This window comes from Homo sapiens, chromosome 2 (assembly GCF_000001405.40).
Source record: "Homo sapiens chromosome 2, GRCh38.p14 Primary Assembly".
NCBI lineage: Eukaryota > Metazoa > Chordata > Mammalia > Primates > Hominidae > Homo > Homo sapiens.
Genome location: NC_000002.12, coordinates 142,927,839 through 142,953,613, shown reverse-complemented (window position 1 = coordinate 142,953,613; position 25,775 = coordinate 142,927,839). Strand labels below are relative to the sequence as shown.

The following is a 25,775-nucleotide window of genomic DNA, read 5'->3' as shown; positions in this document are numbered from 1 at the left end:
ATAAAATTTGTCCTGGATATACTAAATAGATATGAATATAAGCTTATGTTGCATATAGTGACATATGCCTTCTTCTCCATGTTTCAAAGAGAAGATTTCTTTGAAATATGGTTTAAAAAATACTGCCATCTTCATTATATTTATTTCCCTACATTATTGTGGAGGCTAAAGCAACTCTATATTGGGTGTTAATCTGCCATGTTGACTTCTGGGTAACCCTTATTCTGGGAATGCCTTTAAGATTTCTATTTTAACTGCTGCTACCATAAATCCTGCCCTTAGGCAGATTCACATAGCATTCTTGCCGTTCCCTGAGAGGTTGACTTCAATTGTTCCACATAATCCTTCCCTATGTTTTACATATAAGTCATACGCGGTGGGTAATGGTACGGGGGGATTCACTATCTAATCTTGTTGTTGTCAATTGCCAGGACATCATGACTTCTGTTTCTCACTCCCTATTAAATGTTTCTTTCTGAGAAACTGGATTTATCAGTCTCTTACTTGGGCCTTTCAGCTTCCTCCGGTTTGGGGGATAGGTTTGCATAAACCTGTCGACCACAGAACAATTATAGAGTGAATTTTTACTGCTATTTCTAAAACAAACACTATCTAAAGTAACTTGATCTTACTCTTGACTCCCTGTTATTTGCACACATCTATTTGGAAAACCATTTATTTAAAAAAAATGGCAGGGTGAGTGGAAGGAGGAAAGAAAAAGTAATATGAAGAAAAATACAGAATTAGTGGAAAGAGAAGCATTTTAAAGAATAAAGTGAGGAGAAAATAAAAGAAAAAATAATTATCACAAATAAAATCAAGAAATGGAAGAGGCAGGAAAAAGGAGGCTTTCTGTAGAAGCTCAGACATTCCATTTTTGCTTAAATATTATATTCTGATTAAAATGGATATAATGGTAGGCTGAGGCAGGAGGAATGCTTGAACCCAAGTGTTCAAGATGGGCCTGGGCAACATAGTGAGATTCTGTCTCTGCAAACAGTTTTTAAAAATTAGTCAGGTGTAGTGGCATGCTCCTATAGTTCCAGCTACTCTGGAGGCTGAGACAGGAAGAGTGCTTGAGGTTCCAGTGAACTATAAATTGCACCAGTGCACTCCACACTCTAGCCTGGGTGACAGAGTGGAACCTGCATCTAAAAAAAAGCAAAAACAAAAACAAAGAAAGAAATAAGAAAACAAACAAACAAACAAAAACAAATAAAAAGAAAATTTGGATATAGGCTGGGCATGATGGTTTTATATCTCTAATCCCAACACTTTGAGAGGCCAAGATAGGTGGATGGTTTGAGCTCAGGAGTTCAAGACCAGCCTGGGCAACATGGTGAGACCCTGTCTCTACTAAAAATACAAAAAACAGCTGGATGTGGTGGTGCATGCCTGTGTTCCCAGCTACTTGGAAGGCTGAGTTGGAGAATCGCTTGAGCCTGGGGAAGGTGGCGGGTCAGGAGAGGTAGCAGTGCACTCCAGCCAGGGTGACAGAGGGAGATTCTGTCTCAAAAAACAAAACAAACAAACAAAACACGATACAGATTCCTGGACATTTTGGTTCTCCAAACAATACAGTGTTCATTTTGAATCACCTAAAATTTTTCTGGCTTGGGAATGTGATGCACCTACACACATGTTCCCCTCCAGATGTGCTGGGCAGAATTAAACTACACTTACACTTGGTATAGAGCTTCCCTCATTTCACTTTCAATGGCCTCCTCACACTTGGGCCAATTCTTTGTAAATAATCCCTTCCTGATTTGAACAATTTTTCTGTACACATATACAAACATTATTGTACAATGGACCACTTTAAATTAAACTTAACTGAGCACATCACAAAATGCAATCTTCATCTGCTACTGACCTTTGTCCAAGGACAGGGTTAGTCCAACATGCAAGAATGTGTACACTTATAACTGGGGGTGGTGCAAATAGTAAAGTTTCAAAACATTAACAGAAGTGTTTACTACAAATATGACCTAAAGGCACTAAAGAATTTAGTGTTCTTAACATCAAATAGCTACAACAGACTGATTTTTAGTGTACAGGCATACTTTGTTTCATTGCTCTTCACTTCATTGTTTTTTGTCTTATTTTGTCACTCAGGTTGGAGTACAGAGGCATGATCACAGCTCACTGCAAACTCTGCCTCCCAAGGTCAAACAATCCTTCTACCTCTGTTACATGACATCCAGCTAATTTTTTGTATTTTTGGTAGAGACAGGGTTTTACCATGTCCAGGCTGGTCTCAAACTCCTGAGCTTAGGCTATCTTCCTGCCTTGGCCTCCCAAAGTGCTGAAGGGATTACAGGCATAGGCCACCACACCTGGCCTTTTGTTTGTTTGTTTGTTTGTTAAACAAACTGTAGGTCTGTGGCAACCCTCCATCAACTGATCTTATCAGTGCCATTTTTCCAAAAGAATGTGCTCACCTCATGTCTCTGTATCACATTTTGATAATTCTTGCAATATTTCAAACTTTATTATTATTTCCGTGATCAATGATCTTTGATGTTAATACTGTAATTATTTTGGCATGCTACAAACCACATTCATATAAGACAGAGAACTTAATCAATAAATGTTGTGTGTTCTGACTGCTCCACTGATCAGCCCTTCCCCCATTTCTCTCCCACTTCTCCAGCCTCCCTGTTCCCTGAGACTCAACATTGAAAATAAGCCAATCAATAACCCTACAATGGCCTTTAGGTGTTCAAGTGAAAGGAAGTGTCATATGCCTGTCACTTTAAATCAAAAGCTGGACATGATTAAGCTTAGTGAGGCAGACATGTCAAAAGCTGAGGTAGGCTGAAAGCTAGGTCTCTTGTGCCAAACAGCCAAGTTGTAAATATAAAGAAAATGTTCTTGAAAGAAGTTAAAATTGCTACTTCAGTGAACACAACAATAAGAAAGACCAACAGCCTTCATATGGTTTGGCTGTGTCCCCACTCAAATCTCATCTTGAATTCCCATGTATTGTGGGAGGGACCTGGCGGGACGTAATCATGGGGGCAGGTTTTTCCTGTGCTGTCCTCCTGATAGTGAATAAGTCTCATGAGATCTGATGGTTTTAAAAATGGGAGTTTCCCTACACAAGCTCTCTCCTTGCCTCCTGCCATCCATGTAAGATGTGATTTGCTCCTCCTTGCCTTCTGCCATGATTGTGAGGCTTCCCCAGCCAGGTGGAACTGTGAGTTCTCTGGTAAACCTCTTTCATTTGTAATTTGCCCAGTCTCAGGTATGTCTTTATCAGCAGCATGAAAACAGACTAATACAGTAAATTAGTACCAGCAGAATGGGACATTGCTGAAAAGATATCCAAAAATGTGGAAGCAACTTTGGAACTGGGTAACATGCAGAGGTTGGAATGGTTTGGAGGGTTCACAACAAGACAGGAAAATGTGGGAAAGTTTGGAACTTCCTAGAAACTTGTCAAATGGCTTTGACCAAAATGCTGATAATGATATGGACAATGAAATCCAGGCTGAGGTAGTCTCAGATGGAGATGAGGAACTTGTTGGGAACTGGAGCAAAGGTGACTCTTGTTATGTTTTAGCAAAGAGACTGGCGACATTCTGCCCCTGCCCTAGAAATTTATGGAACTTTGAACTTGAGAGGGATTATTTAGGGTATCTGGCAGAAGAAACTTCTAAGCAGCAAAGCATTCAAGATGTGACTTGGGTACTGTTAAAGGCATTCCATTTGAAAAGAGAAACAGAGCATAAGAGTGTGGAAAATTTGCAGCCTGACAACACGATGAAAAGAAAATCCAAATTTCTGAGAAGAAATTCAAGGTAGCTGCAGAAATTTGCATAAGTAACGAGGAGCAGAATGTTAATCCCCAAGACAATGGGGAAAATGTCTCCAGGGCATGTCAGAGGTCTTCATGGCAGCTCCTCCCATCACAAGCCCAGAGGGCTAGGAGGAAAAAGTGGTTTCATGGGTGGGACCCAGAGCCCACCTGCAGTGTGCAGACTAGGGACTTGGTGCCCTGAGTCCCAGCCACTCCAGCCATGGATGAAAGGGGCCAAGGTACAGCTCAGTCTGTGGCTTCAAAGGGTGCAAGCCTCAAGCCTTGGCAGCTTCCACATGGTGTTGAGCTTGTGAGTGCACAGAAGTCAAGGTTTGGGCACCTCTGCCTAGATTTCAGAAGATGTATGGAAATGCCTGGATGTCCAGGCAGAAGTTTGCTGTAGAGGTGGGATCCTCATGGAGAACCTCTGCTAGGGCAGTGCAGAAGGGAAATGTGGGGTGGCAGCCCCCACACAGTGTACCTACTGGGACACCACCTAGTGGAGCTGTGAGAAGAGGGCCACTGTCCTCCAGTCCCCAGAGTGGTAGATCCACTGACAGCTTGCACCATGCGCCCAGAAAAGCCACAGATACTCAACACCAGCCCATGAAGGCAGCTGGGAGTGAGGCTGTACCCTGCAAAGCCACAGGGGTGGAGCTGCCCAAGACCACATGGGAACCCACCTCTTGCATAGCATGACCCAGATGCGAGACATGGAATCAAAGATCATTTCAGAGCTTTAAGATTTGACTGCCCCACTGGATTTTGGACTTGCATGGGGCCTGTAGCCCCTTTGTTTTGGCCAATTTCTCCCATTTTGAACAGCTGTATTTACCCAGTGCCTGTACCTCCATTGTATTTAAGGAATAATTAACTTGCCATTTATCTTACAGGATCATAGGCAGAAGGGACCTTCCTTGTCTCAGATGAGACTTTGGACTGTGGACTTTTGAGTTAATGCTGGAATGAGTTAAGACTTTGGGGGACTGTTGGAAAGGCATGACTGGTTTTGAAATGTGAGGACATGAGATTTGGGAGGGGCCAAAGGTGGAATGATATGGTTTGGTTGTGTCCCCACCCGAATCTCATCTTGAATTCCCACATGTTGTGGGAGGGACCTGGTGGGAAGTAATTGAATCAAGAGGGCAGGTCTTTCCTGTGCTGTCCTCCTGATAGTAAATAAGTCTCATGAGATCTGATGGTTTAAAAAAGGGGAGTTTCCCTACACAAGCTATCTCTTTGCCTGTCGCCATCCACATAAGATGTGACTCTCTCCTCCTTACCTTCTGCCACTGTCATGAGGCTTCCCCAGCTATGTGCAACTATGAGTTCTCCATTAAACTTCTTTCCTTTGTAAATTGCCCAGTCTTGGGTATGTCTTCATCAGTGGCTAAAAACAGACTAATACAAGCTTTATTGCTGATATGGAGAAAGTTTGAGTGATCTGGTCAGATGATCAAACCAGCCCCAACATTCCATTAAGCCAAAGCCTAAACCAGAGCAAGGCCCCAATTCTCTTCAATTCTTTGAAGCCTGACAGAGGTGAGGAAGATGTAAAAGAAAAGTGTGAAACTAGCACAGGTTGGCTCATAAGGTTTAAGGAAAGAAACTTAGAAGTTCAAGGTGGACATAGGTCCCAGGAAGAGGAGTACATAGCATAGGAGCCAGGCAGTGACCAGGGTGCAGCAGTGCCACTCCCTGCATAGGGTCCAGGTGCACTTGTGTATCATGAAATGCAGATCCTTTTATTGATGATTTCTTCGGTGGACACAATTATTAGATCTTAAAAATCTGGTCATTTCAATTGAGAAAATAGAGGCAACTACTCTTTGTAAATAAAGAGGCACCCAGGCCTGACTTGGAGGACCCAATGATACAAGAAACTTTGAAGAGCAGTCTCTCAACAGGGCATCATGACAGCAGCAAACTGAACCCTGCTTTTTTCAGCCTATAGCTATACTGCCTTTCATGATGCCCATGGTATTTCTGTAGATGATGCCAGCAAAAGGGAGAAAGTCCACGGTTTTACCCCAGGTTTCTTATAAACTTACATATAATTATAGCACACAGCATTATCAGCAGAAATGCAAACTGTAATCATTGCCAAAGAGTATATTACTAGGGGAAGGAGTAATTGCTTCTTCAATCTTCTTTGGAATAATCCCTCATTTGGGCCCAAATGAAGTATGCCCAGGATAATCTTTAGATGAAAAAAAACCTGACCTATCATCTTTCTCAACCAAGTCAATGGAATGAATGTTTTTGCATTCCAAAGTTTTGGGCCCATTCAAGGGATCAAGGTAATGAGCAAGAAAGGCAATGTCATGGACCATCTCAGAAGAGCTGGGAAAAAGGCTTTTAAAGAAACAGCAATATCCAGGGAAGCGCTGTTTGGGACATTAGCTTTTATTCCGATGTCTTCAACTATTTTTTAAAAAGACACAGTACAGTAAGCTTGAAGAGGAAATCCCATCTGCAATAGAAAAAATGGAATGCTTCTATGACACAGGTGTGTAGTGGTGAGTTTTAAGTGAATTTGTCTGGTTCCTACTTGAAAATCTTCCTCTCTCAAGGTTTCAGTTTAGAGAACTCCACTGAAGTTTTCTTGGGAACCTCAGAGGTGTCTGCGTTAGCAAGATGACTTAAGATTACACATACTGAGGTCATTTCCAGGTTGATTGTGTTGGGGGTCTGTAAGGGTGGCTGAAAAAAGCAACAAAAGGACATATTGTTTGACATTAGTCACAGGAGTTGCTTGGGGAAGGGTGAGGTGAGAATCAGCCCACAAAAGGGTACCATGAAATTACTAATAAACTTGTCTCAAGTTGGCTATTTGAAATACAAAAAGTACAAGGTGAAACAGTTAAGTGCTGATGGAGAATCTGCAGCAAGTTACCCAGAAAATCAAGCTAAGATCATTGATGCAGGCTTCACTAAACAACGGATTTTCAGTGTAGATGAATGAGTCCTCTATTGGAAGAAGATGCTATCTAGGACTTTATGGCTAGAAAGGAGGTCTCAGCTACAAACCTTCAAGGGACAGGCAGAATCTTATTCAGGATTAACATAGCTAATGACTTTAAGTTTAGGCCAATATTTATTTACCATTCAAAAAATAATAGGGCTCTTAAGAATTATGCTTAATCTACTCTTCCTGTGCTTTATAAGTGAAACGACAAAGCCTGGACAACAGCCCACCTATTTACAGCATGGTTTGCTGACTATGTTAAGCTCACTGTTGAGACCTAATGCTCAGAAAAAGAAATATTTTCAAAACATTTAGTGCTTATTGACAATGCACATAGTCGCCCAAGAGCTCTGATGGAGATGTACAAGGATATTAAACTTTTCAAGTTTGCTAACACAATATCCATTCTGCAGTCCATGGATCATGGAGTAATTTTGACTTTCAAGTAGTATTCTTTAAGAATAAAATTTGGCAGCCGGGCAGGGTAATCCCAGCACTTTGGGAGGCCTAGGCATGTGGATTGGATGAGCTCAGGAGTTTGAGACCAGCCTGAGCAAAATGGTGAAACCCCATTTTTACCAATGATACAAAAAGTAGCCAGGCATGGTCGCTTGTACCTGTGGTCCCAGGTACTCGGGGGAAGCTGAGGCCAGAGAATTGCCAGAGCCCAGGAAATCAAGGCTGTAGTGAGCTGATTGCACCACTGTATTCCAGCCTGTGTGACAGAGCAAGACTCTGTCTCAAAAATAAAAAATAAAAATAAAAAACAAAATACAAAAATTAAAGTTAAAAATTTGGAAAAAAGGCCAGGTGTGGGGTGGCTTATGCCTGTAATCCTAGCACTTTGGGAGGCCAAAGTGGGTGGATCACCCAAGGTCAGGAGTTCGGGACCAGCCTGGTCAACATGGTGAAACCCCACCTCTACTAAAATTATAAAAATTAGCCAGGGATGGTGGTGCATGCCTGTAATCCCAGCTACTTGGGAGTTTGAGTCAGGAGAATCACTTGAACCTGGGAGGCAGAGGTTGCAGTGAGCCGAGATTGTGCCACGGCACTCCAGCCTGAGCGATAGAGACTGCTTTTCCAAAAAAAAAAAAATTAAATACAATTAAAAAAAGCATTTTGTGAGGATATTGTTGCCACAGATAGTGATCCCTCTGATGGATCTCTGCAAAGTCAGTTGAAAACCTTCTGGAAAGGATCTACCATTCTAGATGCCACTAAGAACATTCATGATTATTGGGAGGAGGTCAAAATATCAACATGAACAGGAACTGGGGAAGTTTATTCCAACCCTCATGGATGACTGATAGGCTCAAGGCTTCAGGTGGAGGAAATAATTGCAGATGTAGTGGAATAGCAAGAGAACTAGAATTAGAAGTGGAGCCTGAAGATGTGACTGAATTGTTGCAATCTCATAATAAAACTTCAACAGATGAGGGGTTGCCTCTTACGAAAGTGCAAAGAAAAATGGTTAAGATTTTGAAGATGGTGAAGATGCTGTGAACATTGTTGAAATGACAACAAAGGATTAAAATGTTTCATTAACTTAATTGATAAAGCAGTGGCAGGATTTCAGAGGATTGCTTCAAATTTTGAAAGTTCTACTGTGAGTAAAATACTATCAAATAGCATCACAAGCTACAGAGATTTCTTCCATGAAAGGAAGACTCAATTAACATGGCAAACGTGATTGCTATCTTATTTTAAGAAATTGCCACAGCCACTCCAGCATTCAGGTAACACCATCCCAATTGGTCAGCAGCCATTAATATAGAGGCAAGACAACCCACATCAGCAAAAAGATTACAGCTCACTGAAGGTTCAGATGATTGTTAGCATTATTTAGCAATAAAGTATTTTTTTAATTAAGGTATCCACATTGCTTTTTAGATGCAATGCTATTGCATACTTAATAGACTACAGTATAGTGTAAACATAACTTTTGTATGTACTGTTTAACCAAAAATGTGTGTGATTCACTTGATTACAATATTTGCATTACTGCAGCAACCTGGAACCAAGCCACAATATCTTTGAGGTATGTCTGTATTTTCAAAAGATTATTTACCTAATTGGCCTATCTTTTTTGGTTCAAATTAGATTTCTGAAACCAATATTGTCCTAAGATGTTTCAATATCATCATTTCACTAACAATCTTTTTTTTTTAAAAGTTAACCAAAGTTTATTCAAGTTGTTTTTCTTCATTCCTTTACTTTTTCCTAATTATTTTGAATTAATGTGGAAACATCAAGAGCTCCAGTTATGTTGGGGCAAAATTTTTAAAATGCTTCTGGAGAGCTTAGCAGGTTTTGAAAGGATCTTTACTTTATCAGATCATCTATGACTCACTGCAATAAATGTCAAGATTTAAATCACTTCTGAGATGAGTGTGAGCCAGTGCTCTAATCCAAAGAGTGCTTCTCTGCTTATTTATTCCTTGTTTATTTATTTATTGAACATCATATTTTTGCTTTACCAGAAGATAAAACTTAGTTAAATGCAAGCAACTGCATTCTGGTCTCAAAGACTGGCAAGCTAATGTTTATGGATCCATTAAGTATTTCAGCACTTCTAATTATGTGACTTGTATTATTTCAGCATGCATAGCAACTCAATAAGGTACCTACTCTAATTCTCTTCATTTCATAACGAGGAAACTGATGTGCAAAGAGATGAACTAACTGACCAAAAGTCTTGTAGAAGAAAAATAAAATAAGAATGTTCTTTCAGGGTTAAAGCATTGTTTACAGAAAATACTCTGTGTATTTGACTTGAGACTGAGGATCTTAACCAACTTCCCTCTGTGTCTTTTTAATCCTAACATAATTTCAAATCTCTTGCAAAGTGGGGATGACAAGGCCCCAAGCTGTTTACCATTGGATAAGAGGGTTCATTACGGGTCTCATAACTGCCATACAATGTTCTGTATATTTTATTAAGCAGATGCAAATGTTATTGTGGATTTGGCTGTAAGGTTTGTAATTAGGCTAAGTCCAAGAACTTTACATTCCATTTTTCAAGTAACAAATTTCAGCAGCCTTTAGAGGTGGCTGGTACATGACTGAGGGTCTGCAGCTGTGGGGGGATAGCTTCCAGGGATTATTGCTTCTCTGAGGGTCAGCCACGGATTTCATAAAGCAAATTTATGTTCACATTACACCATTTTTATAACCTTGAATGCATGTAGCTAACGCTGTGTGATTTTTATCTATCCAGGGAGAAGTAAGCTTAATAATAATATTAATAATATTCTTCAGCAATTTTATTTCTACCATCTTGATAATATGACATTAATTATAAGGGAAAGTTATTCCATGTTTTGAAGAATTATTGGCTCTCTATAAAATGTTTCATTAACAGTTTTTCTTCTCATCTGAAATTGAATTTTTTCTACTTCTATGAATAAATATGGTTATTATTTCTTTCTCTTCTCTATCCACACTATCAATTTGTACACATAATAATTTTTATTATCCTCCTGGTAACTTCTTTTTAAAATTTTTTATGGTAAATTAAAGGCTGTGGTTTTAAGAACCTGGAAGACTCAATCACGACCCAAAATATACAACTTGTCTGTTTGCTCATGGCACATTTAGACAACCTGGTGTTACAGTAGGTAGTCAGGCAGACATGAGCAGGGCAGGCATCTCCTTCCCATCACCAGGAATGTCAGGTGATGGTCAGGCAGTTGTTAACTGTCTCTCTAAAATAATAATTGGTTGCAGCCAGTGCCAGGGAAAGACAGTCTCCCAAAAGATAGAAAAAAACCTGAAACTCGTGATCAGCAGTTTCCCAATATCTCAGGATTTGGGTGAGTGGGCTCAAGCATGTACATTAAGAGGCAAAATGGCCAATTTTTAATGTCTCTTATGTGACCTTCTAGGGACATTCAGCTGGTAAGGGAAGAATGCCTCAAGTGAGTATGCACATATCTCCAGTAAACACACTGCACATGCAGCCCCTCCCAAGTGCTACCAGGCCAATGTGCATGAGGACAGCCCATCCCAAGGGAAGAATCAGGGGAGAAGGGACACAAGCCTCCAGAAGCATGCCAAAATACAAAACCCAAAGTCAAAGGTCAAACCATGCACTTGATCTCTCAAGTTGCCCACTTGGCCCTTTCAAGTATACTTTACTTCTTTTCATTCCTGCTCTAAAACTTTTTAATAAACTTTCACTCCTGCTCTAAAATTTGCCTTGATCTCTCCTGCCTTACGCCCCTCAGTTGAATTATTTCTTCTAAAGAGGCAAAAACCGAGGTTGCTGCAGACCCATATGGATTTGCTGCTAGTAACCCTAGCAAGTAGAAAAAATAAATTTGGCCTTTGCTACTCTTTACTGCAGTTACTACAAAATTATTTTAATTATTTCATCATTTAAACCACACTTACTTCCAAAGAGGGTTTCAGATAAATTGTAATACAAAACTATTTGAGGAAGAATGATAGAAAGTAGCAACACAATAAATGCAGATGAGAAACAAATTAGAATTTATTAAATATTTTTGTTACTTCAAACTTGATCAAATTTTTCTCAGAACTTCTTAGTAACCAAGGCAAAACGGGAAGCTGCATGGGGTTTGCAAACAAAATGAACACACACAAAAAAACACATTCTAAAAGAGTCTATTTGAGTGAAGTTACACATTTTTCTTTTTTTTTTTTCTTTTTTTTTTTTTTCTGTCACCCAGGATGTAGTGCAGCAGCATGATCATGGCTCACTGTAGCCTCAAACTCCCAGGTTCCAGCAACTCTCTCACCTCAGCCTTTCGAATAGCTGGGACTACAGGAATGTACCACCATGCCTGGGTAATTTTTGTATATCTGTATTTCTTGCAGAGGCGGAGTTTCACCATGTTGCCCAGACTGGTCTTGAACTCCTGGGCTCAAGAAATTCTCCTTCCTTACCTTCCCAAAGTGTTGGGATTACAGGCGTGAGCCACTGTGCCTCGTTTATTCATTTTTTCAATTTGACTTAAGTAAGGACCATTTCTCTGACTAATATGTATTTAATTTTGGAAGTTAAAAAATTTTGGAGCTAATAGTATGATCTGAAAGACCGAAACAGATGCTCCTTTATCGATAAAGATGGATCCAATGGTTTAGGAAACTAAATTACCTACGGGTCAGGTCGTGGGTTCAGGGCCCATTCAGCATGGCAAATCTCTTAAATTCCTGTGGCTCTAAACTCCCTAACCATAGGAGCTATCACACCCTTCCTAACTCTGATTTACAACCCAGACCACTGAAAAGACTTCAAATAAAATGTGACAATGCATTTGTCATATAAGGTTTGAGGCTTTGGGAAAGTTATAAATATTTTCTTTACGAAGTTTCAGGTCTACAAAACTCACTTTGCCCATTTTAAGAAATAATTGTTATCTTCTATATCCCACATTATATTTTGGGACCAAACACATCTAATTTAACTAATGCAGCATTCAAAGACAAAAATGTAGAAAACTAAATGAATTTTGTCCCATAGGTGTGTTATAACAAGAAATATTTGGTTTTTGTTCTCAGTTCAGGGTACAGGGCTGCTAAAACCCTTGGATATTCCAAGTGGTAAAAGTATTTTTTGTTATTCATAACAAGCTCCCTTAGATCACAGGAGAGTTGATGCTAATAAAGTGACTTAAGTTGGGGCCCTGAGAGACATCTCACTATGGGGGGCTGCCCATCAAAAAGACCAAGTGATCAGAGGGAGTAGAGGTGAAACTTTTAGCTCTACCCACTGACCTCCCAGAGGGAGAGGAGGGCTGGGATTGAGCTTTATAAAAACAGTAAGACTCAGAGAGGTTCTGGGCTGATGAACACATTTAAGTACCAAGAGAGTGGCAGGCTCAGAGAAGGCATGGAAGCTCCCTCATTTCCATGCCCTATGCATCTCTTCCATTGGCTGTTTCTGAGTTGTATCTTTATAGTAAACTGGCAAACATAAAGTAAAGTGAAAGTAAAGTTCTGAAATTGCTCTAGCAAATTATGGAGCCTGCAAAGGGCACTGTGGAAATCCCTGAATTTACAGCTGGTGCGTCTAAAGTAAGGGTGGTTTCTAGGATTTTTGACTGGCATCTGAAGTGGCGGCAGTCTTGTGGGCCAGAATATAAATTATATTACTGTGTGGTTTTTCAAAGACAGGCAGAAAACCCCTACAGCTATGGTTGACAAATTTTCTTTTAAAAATTTAAAATAAGCTTAATCCCTTTAGTTTTCTAAACAAGACTGAATATTTATAGTCTTTCTCTTATTTTTTGTTTTTCCTTAGTAACAATAATGAAAGGTGACAGGTTTGAAATTTCAGTGATCTTTATGTGTCATACATGTATTTATGTGTCAACAAGGCTCTTGGACATTTAATAAGTTGCAATAGAGCTGTAAACTTTTAAATGGTCAAAGGACATCTTTTTGCAGGATTTATTGGCTTCATAAATAAATCTCACTGAATAATATCACTTTACCACTTCCCTGGCTTCTATATAAACATTCTAACTTCTCTTTAGAGGATGATAAATATTAAGAACAAAATAACAGGATTAGAATGCAGTTTATGTTCTGAAAGCAAACTGAATAAAGTGAAAAAAAATTCACAGCTAAGAGAAGCACATATTCTCCGGTCAAATTAAATGCAAATTCTTTTTCCAGTTTTTTTGTTTACATATTAGAATATTTGAATGTTTAGAATTGGCTTCTAACAAATGAACACAAACGAAGGATTTATTACACAAATATTTCGCACACTTTTAAATGCAATTCAGGATTGTTCAGAGAATTCTCTCCATCAGAATATGCACTGCTCTAGGTAATTCTGACAGCCTGATCAAGTGCACTGTGTTTTGAGAATCCACTGGTGTGGGAGGAGATTCTTGGTTTTGGCCTTTACTGGATCTGGCTGTCAAAGATTCTGGCCCTGGGTTCCAGACCTAAGCATCCAGGGCTGCCCAGATTAGCCCTGGGGCTTCTTGGGAAAGTCTTTCACTCAAGTCCTACACTGAGCCTGACTCCACGTGAGCTGCCCCCAAAATACTACTTTCTGGTTTCTTACTGTTCTTTTCTTCAATAATAGTTGTAAATTTCTGGTCTATGCAGATTTCTATTTACTTATTTTTAACTGTTGCTATATGTTTGTTAATTTTTTTTTCAGTCACTCCTCGGTATTTGTCATAGAACGGAGAATTTTCGGTCTGTACTCAATCTGTTATCTTTTCTTTTTCTTTTTTCTTTTTTTTTTTTTTTTTTTTGTGAGATGGAGTCTCGCTCTGTCACCAGGCTGGAGTGCAGTGGCACAATCTCAGCTCACTGCAACCTCCACCTCCCAGGTTCAAGCGATTCTCCTGCCTCAGCCTCCTGAGTAGCTGGGATTTCAGACACGTGCCACAATGCCCGGCTAATTTTTGTATTTTTAGTAGAGACAGCGTTTCACCATGTTGGTAAGGCTGGTCTCGAACTCCTGACCTTGTGATCTGCCCGCTTCAGCCTCCCAAAGTGCTGGGATTACAGGCATGAGCCACCACTCTCAGACTCAATCTGTTATCTTAAACTAGAAGTTGATATTCTGATCTACAACATAGTCGCACAAAACCAATAGAAATTTGTATAATGTAATGATTAATAATAATTGGTAGGAACTTGAGTTTGCTTTTGTTTACAACTCTTCTATTGAGGTTTGAGGGGTTTGTTTTGTTTTGTTTTGTTTGAGACAGGGTCTTAGTCTGTCACCCAGGCTGGAGTACAATGGTGCAATCATGGCTCATTGCAGCCTCCACCTCCTGAGCTCCTGCCTCAGCCTAAAAAGTAGCTCAAACTACAGGTATGAGCCACCCACACCCCACTAATTTTTCTTTCTTCTCTTATTTATTTTACTTATTTATTTATTTATTTATTTTGTAGAGACGGGGTCTCACTATTTTGCCTCAACTGGTCTTGAACTCCTGGGCTTAAGTGATCCTCTCGCTTTGGCCTCTCAGTGTTGGAACTACAGGTGTGAGCCACTATGCCTGGCCCCCTATAAAGTTATTAAAAAAAATTTAATAGGTTAACATATTCATATGGTCATAAACTAAAAACAGATTTCTTTTTTCTTTTTTTAAAAAATTTTCCACACAACATGGATGTATAAAAATAGATTTTCATGAAAAGTTTTGTAATTTGGGTATAATAAACATGAGTGTTGTTGAATCAAGTTTAGCCTAAAGCTATCTACTTACATATTTCAAGTTTGGCTTAAAGGTTTCTCTGTGCATAGTGAACTATAACCTAAATGGAGATGTAAACAAACTGTAACCTGCTCCAGTGCTAATCACCGCATTTTGGCCAAAGAAGAGAAACTGTTCAAACCCTGCTCAAATAAGGCAAATGCTGAGCTGTAAACAACCTGGCTGTTTCTGTACCTCACTTCCCTTCTCTGTATGTCACTTTCCTTTTTCTGTCCATAAATCTTCTTCCACCACGTGGCTGCGGTGGAGTATCTCTGAGTCTATTATGGCTTGGGAGGCAGCCCAATTTGTCAATCGTTCTTTGCTCAATTATACTCGGATAAATTTAATTTGGTTAAGGATTTTCTTTTAACAGATTTAAACAAAATTATGGGAGGATACTGTTTTGGAGTGAGCTCATGCACTAGGACCCCACAGACCAGACCAAACCAAAAAGCAGTCACTTATGATAAATGTGACATAATAAAAAATAAGACTTCAAGGAAACAGATATATCCTAGAACAGACTAGGTTTTGTTTTTCTCCTGTAAACAGGATATTCCAGCATGAGGAGGTACCCTCTACTCTAACCCGTAAAAAAAAATTACCGAAGTCCTTGTTCCTATCTTACAAAATCCACTATTATGCTATTTTCCGGTGGGTTTTGAAACCAAATAAGGACATTTATGATGGTGATAGTTACATCAATGACTAAAGTTTTGGTCAATCTCTCAAAATTGAGAAGATGACCAAAAAGGGAGATTGTTAAATTAACTTTAGCCTAAACTTGCCTCCTTACATATTTTAAGTCCAGCCTAAAGCTTTCTCTGAAAATCATGAACTGTTACCTAAATGGAGGCATAAGCAGACTGTAACCTACTCTTGTGCTAATCACCACATTTTGGCCAATCAAAGGAGACCAACTGTTCAAACCATGTTAAATTAAGGTAAATGCTGGGCTGTACCCAATCAGGCTGTTTCTGTACCTCACTTCCATTTTCTGTACATCACTTTACTTTCTCTGTCCACAAATCTTCCAACCACATGCCTGTGCTGGAGTCTGTGAACCTACTCTGGCTTGAGAGGCTGCCTGACTCATGATTTGTTCTTTGCTCAATTAAACTCCGTTAAATTTAGTTTGGCTCATGATTTTTTTTTTTAACAGTGTGTTCTGCACGTGATGGGGTTTGTTGTAAGGTGATCCCATTTGCCCATCGTGCTGGGAAATGCCCTCATGTCAGACTCTTTAGGTTGTGCAGATAACAGAGTAGACTTGTCCAGCCTCCTGTGTGGGGACTGGTAGCTAAATAAGAGTGCAAGTGGATAAACATTTATTTAATGCTTTTTTTTTCACTATTGTAAGATTCTTCCTGGGGCCTGAAAGTTTAAGATGAGTAACTCCTCCCTTCTCAGGCCCAGTACCAAGGTGCAAGGCCACATATATCAGCAGGGTACACCAGCAAAATAGCAGAAGCAGGAAGAGAGCTGGCCAGAAGATAGCTACCCTGGTTGGAAGACACATACTCCTGAAGATCGAGAAAGAGGCCATCCAGGTACAACATAGCAGTTACGACAGACTAGAACACTTCCTGTTTACAGGAGACTATAAAACCTTTATCCCGTCCTCACTTGGTGCTGATGCCATTTTCAGCCTCAGCCCACCTGCACCCAGGCGCTCATTAAAACAGCATGTTGCTCCACACCACCTCATCTTGTCTGTTGCGCTCTTGGGTTTCAAACCAATACAAAAATTTTACGTTCTGGTGCCAAAACCTGGGAGGGGCTCAAGTCTGCGTCCTCCTTGGGCCTACCCCTCCACCCCAGAGAGTAGGCCACAGCAGCCAGACAAAGGAAACTCCTCAGCCTCCAGTCACCCCTCTGCATGCACATTAGTCACTGATCTCACCTACCAGTAAGTTTCCTGGGAGCTCTGTCAACAGGGAAAAATCTACATGGCCTCTCTTGGTTTCTCCGGTCCAAAAATCCAGCGTTGGTCCAAGAAGGCTCTGGTGTGTGCCAGGCAGTTGCTGATCATCTGTTCTTAGGGGACACCTCTAAGCCAACTGATCCCATTCCGGGAACGAAAAAGGCAGCAGTGACGATCACTCCTTTTATCGTCTCCCTCCAGCTGTCCAGGACGGTCTCCTTTTTCTCTGTTCTCCCATGCCTACCCTCCGTTATGGGAAATTCTTGGTCCTCTATTCCAAAAAACAGCCCTCTAGGCTGCCTCATAAAAGAACCCTGCAAACCTTAGGCCTCAGACAAGATATCCACCCTAAGTGCCCCGTCTTTTTTTACAATATAGCCTGGATGCAGTACAAATTAAACAATGCATCTAAATGGCCCTCAAATAAAACATTTGACTTTATAATTTTAACGAACTTAAGCAATTATTGCCAATGACTGGAGAAATGGGGAGAAATTCTGTATGTCCAGGCGTTTTTTGCACTCAGATCACAGCCCGACCTCTACAATTCTTGTTTACCTGTTCAAATCCTTCTCTTCCATTCTTGCTATCCAGATCACCTTTCTCCTCCCAACCCTACCTCTTTTTCCTCATTCAATCCAGCAGACTGCTGTCCATGCCTCCCAGCCACTACCTCTTTCTCTCAATCGCCTTCTTTAACCCGTTCGTTGTCTTCTCAGTCATCATCTTCTCAGCCACCACCTTCCCAGTCAGCTGTATCCACTTCTTTTCCTACACCGTCCCATCAGGACAATTCTAGCATTGCCTGTACTCATTCTCCTTCCTCATCGCCCTCTCCTGAAGCCTATAAACCCATCCTGCCACCTTACGCCCGTATGTATCCTCCACTGCTTATCAACTCAACTCCCTTCCCCCTTCATACCCTCAGCAGGAACCACTTCCGGCTTTTTCCTTCCCTCCGGCCCATACTCCTTCAGATGCCATCTTTAGCCTATGACCCACCCTTACTTCAGGAAGTAGCAGGAACTGAAGGTATTACTAGAGTTCATGTTCCCTTCTCCCTCACTGATCTGTCTCAAATTAACAAAAGACTCGGTTCATTTCCAGAAGACCCCACCTCTTATATTAGGGAGTTTCAGTACCTTACCCAGTCTTATAAACTAACCTGGCATGACCTCTACATTATTCTCTTCCACCCTCACCCCAGAAGACTAAGACCATATCTGGACCCTAGCTCAGGCGCAGGCTGATACAATTCATCACCAAACTCCTGCCCAGCCTACTGGCGCAGAGGCAGTTCCCAATCAGGACCCCCACTGGTATTATCAAGATGGGGCCTCTGGATGCCACCATCAAGACCACATGATTGTGTGTCTCCTTGCAGGACTCAAAAAGGGTGCCCATAGAGTAGTAAACTATGAAAAACTTTCAGAAATCACCCAGGGTCCTGACGAAAACCAGCCCTTTTTCTCTCTTGTTTAACTGAAGTCATAAGAAAATACACCAACCTAAACTCAGCCAGCTGAAAAGGAACCACTATCTTAAACCTTTGGTTCACCTCCCAGTCCACCCCCAATATTCCACGCAAACTTCAGAAGCTTGATGACGGCCCTCAAACCCCACATGGAGACCTTCTTAATTTAGCCTTCAAAGTCTTTAACAATCGTGATGAGGAAAATGAAAGGCAAAACACAGGTAGTCTCAAATGCTTACCTCCACCAGGCCCGCAGGGCTGCAGCTCAACAGGGAAGCCTCCTAGCAATCCACCTCCACCTGGCGCCTGTTTCAAGTGTGGCAATGAAGGCTACTGGTCCAGACAATGCCCAAACCCAGGTAAGCCCACCAGGCCATGCCCCCTTTGCGGAGGACCCCACCGGAGGTTGGACTGTCAGCGGACCCCACAAGGACCGCCCCCATCCCTTCCGAAGCTGGCCAAAACCTCCTATTAGGATCTCATCGGCCTTGCCACTGAAGAGTGACGGTGCCCTGAAATGGACACCCTGGCAACTACCATCTCTTCATCCGAGCCAAGGGTAACCCTGATGGTGGCAGGTAGGCCAGTATGTTTTTTAATTAATACCAGGGCAACCTACACTGCTTTACCTAATTTTTCAGGACCCACTGAGTTCTCCCAAGTCTCTATTGTAGAAATTAATAGACAAGTCTCCAAACCCCAAGCCACCCCTCCACTTTTCTGCTCCCTATACACCTTTTCCTTCACTCACTTTCTTAGTCCTACCCTCATGCCAAACTCCACTCCTTTCAAAGCTCCACACTACTCTTCACTTCCATGTTCCCCATAGTACCCAACGCACCAACCCAGACCCCTCTGGGGCTTCTAACTTTCTTCTACTCCTCCAACCTGCCACCTTAAAACATGCAACTTTTCCTTATCCCCCATCCGTAGTTAACCCCTCTGTTTAGGACACTTCCACACCCTCAGTCACAAAACACCACACCCCCATCCACATTGCCCTTAAAAAGCCCACCCAGTTCCTATCACAGAAGCAGTATCCCATCTCCCAAGCAACTCGCATAGGCCTAAAGCCTATCATTTTCGCCTCCTCACCAGTCGCCTACTCCACCCAACAAACTCCCCTTTTAACAAACCAGTTCTACCTGTCAAAAAGCCAGATGAAACTTATCGCTTAATCCAGGACCTCAGGCTCATTAACCAAGCTGTACTCCCAGTATGTCTAGTAGTTCCTAACCCATATACTTTACTTTCCGTAATTCTGTCTAATACCACCCATTTTTCTGTTCTAAACCTAAAAGATGCTTTTTTTTCCCCACAATTCCTTTACACCTTGATTCCCAAAACCTCTTTGCCTTTACATGGGAAAACCCCAACTCCAAACTTTCACATCAGCTCACCTGGTGCATACTACCTCAAGGTTTCAGAGACAGCCCCCATCTTTTTGGACAGGCCCTTGCTCTTGACCTCAGTACCCTATCCCTAAAACCATCCACTCTCCTTCAATGTGTTAATAATCTGCTCCTGTGTAGCCCCTCTCAAAAACACTGCAACACCCACACTATCTCTCTCTTTTAAACTTCTTGACAAAACGAGGGTATTAGGTCTCCTCTAAGAAAGCACAATTATGCACCCCCTTAGTCACCTATCTAGGGCTAGCTCTTACCCCGTGAACCCAAGGGCTCACAGCTGACTGCATATCTCTCCTCCAATCCCTCCTGCCTCTGCAAACTAAGCAAAAAATTCTCTCTCTTTTCTAGGATTAGTGGGATGTTTTAGGCTCTAGGTTCCCTCCTTCGCTCTACTTGCCAAACCATTATACCAAGCTGCTAAAGCCCCACTCCATGAGCCTTAAAAATCTGCACAGCCTATTACCCAACCTTTCCGTCTACTCTGGAAGGCTCTCACCTCAGCCCTGTCCTCACTCTCCCAGACCTCACCAAACCTTTCTCCCTCTATACTGACCAACAGCATAGAGTTACACTAGGTGTTCTAACCCAGTCTAAAGGACCCACCCTTCAGGTTATTGCCTACCTCTCTAAACAGCTTAAAGCCTCAGTTCTTGGATGGCCTGCCTGCCTCCGACCATTGGCGGCAGCTGCTGTCCTAACCCTTAAAAGCCTAAAACTATCTCTCCATGCCAACCTAACAGTTTATTCAACCCATAACATCAAAGACATGCCAACTCACTGCAGTGTACTAGTCTCATCTCTGCCCCATGACTCCTCCAACTGTATGCTCTATTCATAGAAACCCCCCAAATCACTATGCTAACCAGCTCCCATCTAAACCCAGCCATGCTCTTACCTGAAGCTACAACCGCCAAAGACCCTAAACACTTCTGTGTGAACACTGTTCAAACCTTTCTTATACCTTTTCCAAATCTAACAGATGAACCCCTTCTTTACTTGGTTTGTAGACGGCAGCTCCTTCTTACAGCAAGGACGCCGGCATGCTGGCTATGCTATAGTGTCCCCCGCCCCCCGCCCCCACATACTATTGAAGCCAATCCACTGCCCCTAGGCACTACCTCCCAAAAGCTGAACTCATTGCCCTCACTCAAGCTCTCACACTGACAGCCGGACAACAAATTAACATATATTCAATTTGTCATTCATTATACGTTCCATATAGTACAGTCACACTCGTCTACCTGGAAAAAACGGGGTTTCCTAGCTGCAAAAAACACTCCTGTCATAAATGGCTCTCTCATCAACAAACTCCTTCAAGCTATCAGGCTCCTGCAGAAAGTTGCCATCATTCATTGCAGGGGCCACCAAACCCCAGACAATCACATATCGGCTGGAAATGCGCTAACAGATCAGGTAGTGAAACAAATAGCCCTATGATCCGTGCAAGGCCAGTTTCTCTCCCTGTCCTTGTTCTCTCCTCTTTACTCCTCAGAAGAAAAGCAGGACTTCTGAGCCCAAAACCTTCAAAAGCAAGGACCATGGTATGTCAAGGAAAGGTGCTTTGTTCTTCCTCACTCTCAAAATCTTCCTCACCTCCAAAGACTCCACAACTCTTTCCATGTCGGTTACAAACCTCTCTTGCAACTTTTCCACCCTATTCTCACTTGTCCTCACCTTTCCAGCCATGTCTGAGAAATTACCCAGTCTGGCTCTATCTGCCACTCAGTGTCACCCCAAGGCTCCCTCTGGCCGCTACCTTTTCCTACCGACCAAGCCTGGGGCCAGGTACCAAGGCAAGAATGGCAAGTAAACCTCACTCACATGCCGCTCTGCTATCTTCTAGTCTTTGTCCATACTTTCTCCAGGTAAGTAAAAATGTTCCCAACAACTTCAGAAGGTGCAAATGTCGTCACACAAACTCTCATCATGCATATAATTCCCCATTTCGTACTCTGAACATCCATCCAGCCCAATAACAGGCCGGCCTTCATCAGCCAAATTATTCAAGGTGTCTCTACATCTCTAAATATGAAGTAGGTTCCCCACACACCCTACAGGCCTCAATCTTCAGGCAAAGTTGAAAAAACTAAATCTGTACTTAAAGCGCAACTCACGAAGCTGGCTCTAAAAACCCACCAGTCGTGGACAAAAAATCTCCCTTTTGCCCTCATGAGACTCCACACAACACCAAAAGCAGCCTCTTTTTATAGTCCCTTTAAAATCATGTATGGCCGAACTTTTATCTTAGGGCCTCCACCCTTACCAAACTCTAACCCACTCAGAAATTACCTCCCCTCCTTAATCCAGACACAGTCTTTCATTCGTGAAGCAGCAAATGAGGCTATACCTCTCCCTGTTGACACCTCCTTGTCCTCTCAACATAACTGTCTTGCAGGCACAGACGCGTTTCCAGACAATACAGATGATGCTCCTACTACAAGGACAATGTGGATACCAACCCGTCTCTCAAGAATACCCAAAAAATTAAGGTTTTGTTTTTCCAAGGTGCCCACACCACCCCCTATATCACACGTGAAGTAGTTATTGAGAAAGAGGCCCCTTATCCCTTTTATCTACAACCAAATAGACGGGAATGTACGATTCTCCCTGAGGCCTGAAAGCTTAAGGAGATGAATAACTCCTTCCTTCTCAGGCCCAGTACGAAGGCGCAAGGCTACTTACGTCAGCGGCGTGCGCCAGCAAGATATCAGAAGCAGGAAGAGAGCCGACCGAAAGACAGCTACCCTGGCCGGAAGACACGTAACCCTGAAGATCGAGAAAGAGGCCATCCAGGTACAACGCAGCAGTTATGTCAGACTAGAACACTTCCTGTTTACAGGAGACTATAAAACCTTTGTCTTGTCCTCACTTGGTGCTGATGCCATTTTAGGCCTCAGCCCGCCTGCACCCAGGCGCTCATTAAAACAGCATGTTGCTCCACACCACCTCGTGTTGTCTATTGACGTGCTCTCGGGGTTCAAACCGATACAGAAACCTTACAACTATGGTATATATTATTAATTGAGTTGGTGGCCCCAAATTCATATGTTAAAGCCCTAATCTCCAATGTGAGTGTATTTGGGGATAGGCCTACAAATTAGTAATTAAGGTTAAGTGCAGTCATAAGGGTGAGGGCTTGATATGGTAGAGCTGGTATCCTTAGGTGTCCTTATAAGACGTGTGAGAGACACCAGAGAACTGTTTCCTCCAGTACACAAAAGAAAGGCCATGTGAGGACATAGTGAAAAGGCAGCCAAGAGGAGAAGCCAGGAGGAGAACCCTTACTAGAAACCAACCCTGACAGCACTTTGCACCTTGATCATGAATTTCTAGCCTCCAGTACTGCGAAAAAATAAACTTATATTGTTTAAGCCACCCAGTCTGTGGTGTTTGTCATGGCAGTCTGGAGACCCTTTCTCCTCCCTTTTCTGGAAATTAATCCTCTAGTCATCTCCTGAAATGGGGTGTGGGAGTATTCACCTGCAGCATCAAGTTGGCAAGGGGATCTGATATTCTAATTGTATTTTAAACAGAATTTCAACAAATCTTCTTTTTTAAAAATTCATATTTTCATCACTACCTTCTGGAGGTGTGAGGACTAAACTCTGACCTTTTTTCTGTCTTGCCCAAATTCCTAAGAGGCCTGGGGAATAACATCCTACAAACCATAAAATCTCACCAGATGGGTTTTATTTTATCCTATATGACAAGCTTACTTTCCAACCTTACTCTGGCGTAACATCAAATGACAGATAAAGAAGAAAATCAAAATATTTTACCCCAAAATATGTCTCTTTGACATACTTTGAGTGGCCCTACAAAGCCTTCTGTTGTGAGGGAAAATTTACATCTGTCAAGAATATGAAGAATATAACCAAATCTTTCCCTTTTCAGTCCCTTCCAATCCTGAAGAGATGAACTGAGAGACTAGAACCCTTTACAGGTATGAATGGGAAACAATTGCCATCTATTGTCTGTAAGGGCAGCCACCTATGAGACTTTATCTACATAATAAGAACCTTGGTTTTCATCACCCCTTATCTTCCTCCAGACACTCCTTTCTATTGATTCCAGGTTTTTAGATAATAACTTAACTCTTTCAATAAATTGCCAATCAGAAAATCTTTGACTCCATCTATAATCCTATGACCTATAAACTACTACACTTCCCACCTGTGCGCCTGTCCCCTCCTCTCCCCCAAACCTATGGATACTTCACATGTGTAGATTGATGTCTTTTGTCAACCCAACCACCTTGGGCACATGTTCTTAGGACCTCTTGAGACTGTGCCTTGGGTCATGACCACTCATATTTGGCTCAGAATATTTTACAGAAAAATTTACTCTTCAAATATTTTACAGAATTTGGCTCTTTTCATGGTCAGGTGATTAGCAGGGTAAAGCAGCTGGCTTTTTATTTTTTTGCCATTGGGAGATTAGGATTTGGTTTACTTTTTTTTTTTTTTTTTTTTTTTTGAGAAAGGCAATTACCACTTGTCTATCAGCGAGCCAACTCCCCAGATATTATTATCATCTCCTTTGGCATTCTATTTTGTCCTCTGCAGTTTAGACTTTGTAATTTTTTTTTCTATTCCATTCAGAATTCTTTGGTGAGGTTTTAGAAAAAAGAGTAGTTACATGCATGTGTTCAGTCCTAAATCAACTGGAAAATTATGCCTCTTTGGTAGTGTGATTAATTTTATATTTCTTTGTATTTTACTTATGTATGTACATTAATTTTGGATTTATTTGCATCTTCCTTTACTGGCAGTCTATGAGGATAAGGAAGGTGAGTGTTGTTCGTTTTTTGTTTTTTTTTTTTTTTTTTGAGACAGGGTGTCACCCTGTCGTCCAGGCTGAACAACAGTGGCACGATTTGGGCTCACTGCAGCCTCAACCTCCCAGGCTCAAGCTAACCTCCCACCTCAGCCTCTCAAGTATCTGGGACTACGGGTGTGCCAGCATGCTTGGCTAATTTTTAAAATTTTTTTGTAGAGATGGGATCTCACCATGTTGGCCAGGCTGGTCTCGAACTCCTGAGCTCAAGCAATCCACCCACCTCAGACTGTCAAAGTGCTGGGATTATAGGTGTGTGTCACTATGCCCAGCCCTTATTCACTTTTATGTCCTCAGAGCTCCCACAAGTCATGACATATAGCAAAAAATCAATAATTACTTTTTAAATAAACAAGATAGTCTCCAGATTTTAATGATTTGCCAGTTGCCATAGTTTTTTCTATGCATAAGTCCAGCTTTCCCCACTCCATTTCCCTTCCAGCCACGTTGATTTTCTCTCTAATTACTGGTCAAGATTCAAATGGAATGAAGCAATAAAGATATTTTTATGTTTGCTTATAAGAGAATAAGCTTTCAAAAAGGATTTGAAAACTTGAGTTTTCCCTAAGTCCTTAAAATAGTTCCAAATAGCACCACTCCAATTACCAAAATATCATTAATTTTTTTGTTCAGTACCTTAAATTTTAAACAATGCTGAATATTTAAGCCAATTAAATAAATTTTTTCAAAATGTTAACACATTTACCATCTAAAACTATCTTAAATACCACCGATAGTATATATAACTCTCTTTAGGATAGCACATTTTAGACTAAAAACAGCATCAGCTATGTCATTTTCAGTAACATGAAGCTAAAATTTAAATAGATCACCAAAGATTAAATTGAAATGAGCAAAAACATGATTGGTGTTTTACACCTTTAGCATGTGAAAATGTTCATTATATCAAATAGTTAAATTATAGAAAATTCATTTCAGTTGATTTTTATGAAATGTATTCAATTATAAATTAATACAATGTATGTGTTTTTCATGTGTGATAAATATTACATTTAAAGTATGACAGAAAAAAATAACATATATTTTATTTTTATATAAATAACCTTGTTATGCTCACCATAGCAATCTTTGAGTTAACAAATTTAAGTTGAAAGTGTACTTCCTTTTTACTATTATAGATTAAAATAGAAAATCACTATG

At 41.2% G+C, this 25,775-nt stretch overlaps 1 protein-coding gene, 1 long non-coding RNA gene and 1 pseudogene across 9 annotated transcripts in view, besides 1 other annotated feature; 2 read left to right on the top strand and 1 right to left on the bottom strand.

Annotated features, from left to right (window-relative positions):
• KYNU (kynureninase) overlaps positions 1-25,775 on the bottom strand; it is a 178,170-nt gene that overhangs the window by 102,220 nt on the left and 50,175 nt on the right. The window lies entirely within an intron of this gene.
• Positions 5,440-6,250, top strand: SFXN4P1 (SFXN4 pseudogene 1; annotated as a pseudogene).
• Positions 21,761-22,960: an enhancer, noted in NCBI's record as "MED14-independent group 3 enhancer chr2:143688223-143689422 (GRCh37/hg19 assembly coordinates)". NCBI's record gives its function as "activates an origin of replication core promoter dependent on BRD2, BRD4, P300/CBP and CDK7 cofactors, and independent of MED14, by STARR-seq in HCT116 cells {active_cell/tissue: HCT116}" and the evidence as "EXISTENCE:reporter gene assay evidence [ECO:0000049][PMID:35650434]".
• Positions 22,505-23,900, top strand: LOC124907894 (uncharacterized). Its single transcript, XR_007087249.1, has 2 exons — positions 22,505-22,571; positions 23,673-23,900. It is a non-coding gene; the product is annotated as an uncharacterized LOC124907894 (long non-coding RNA).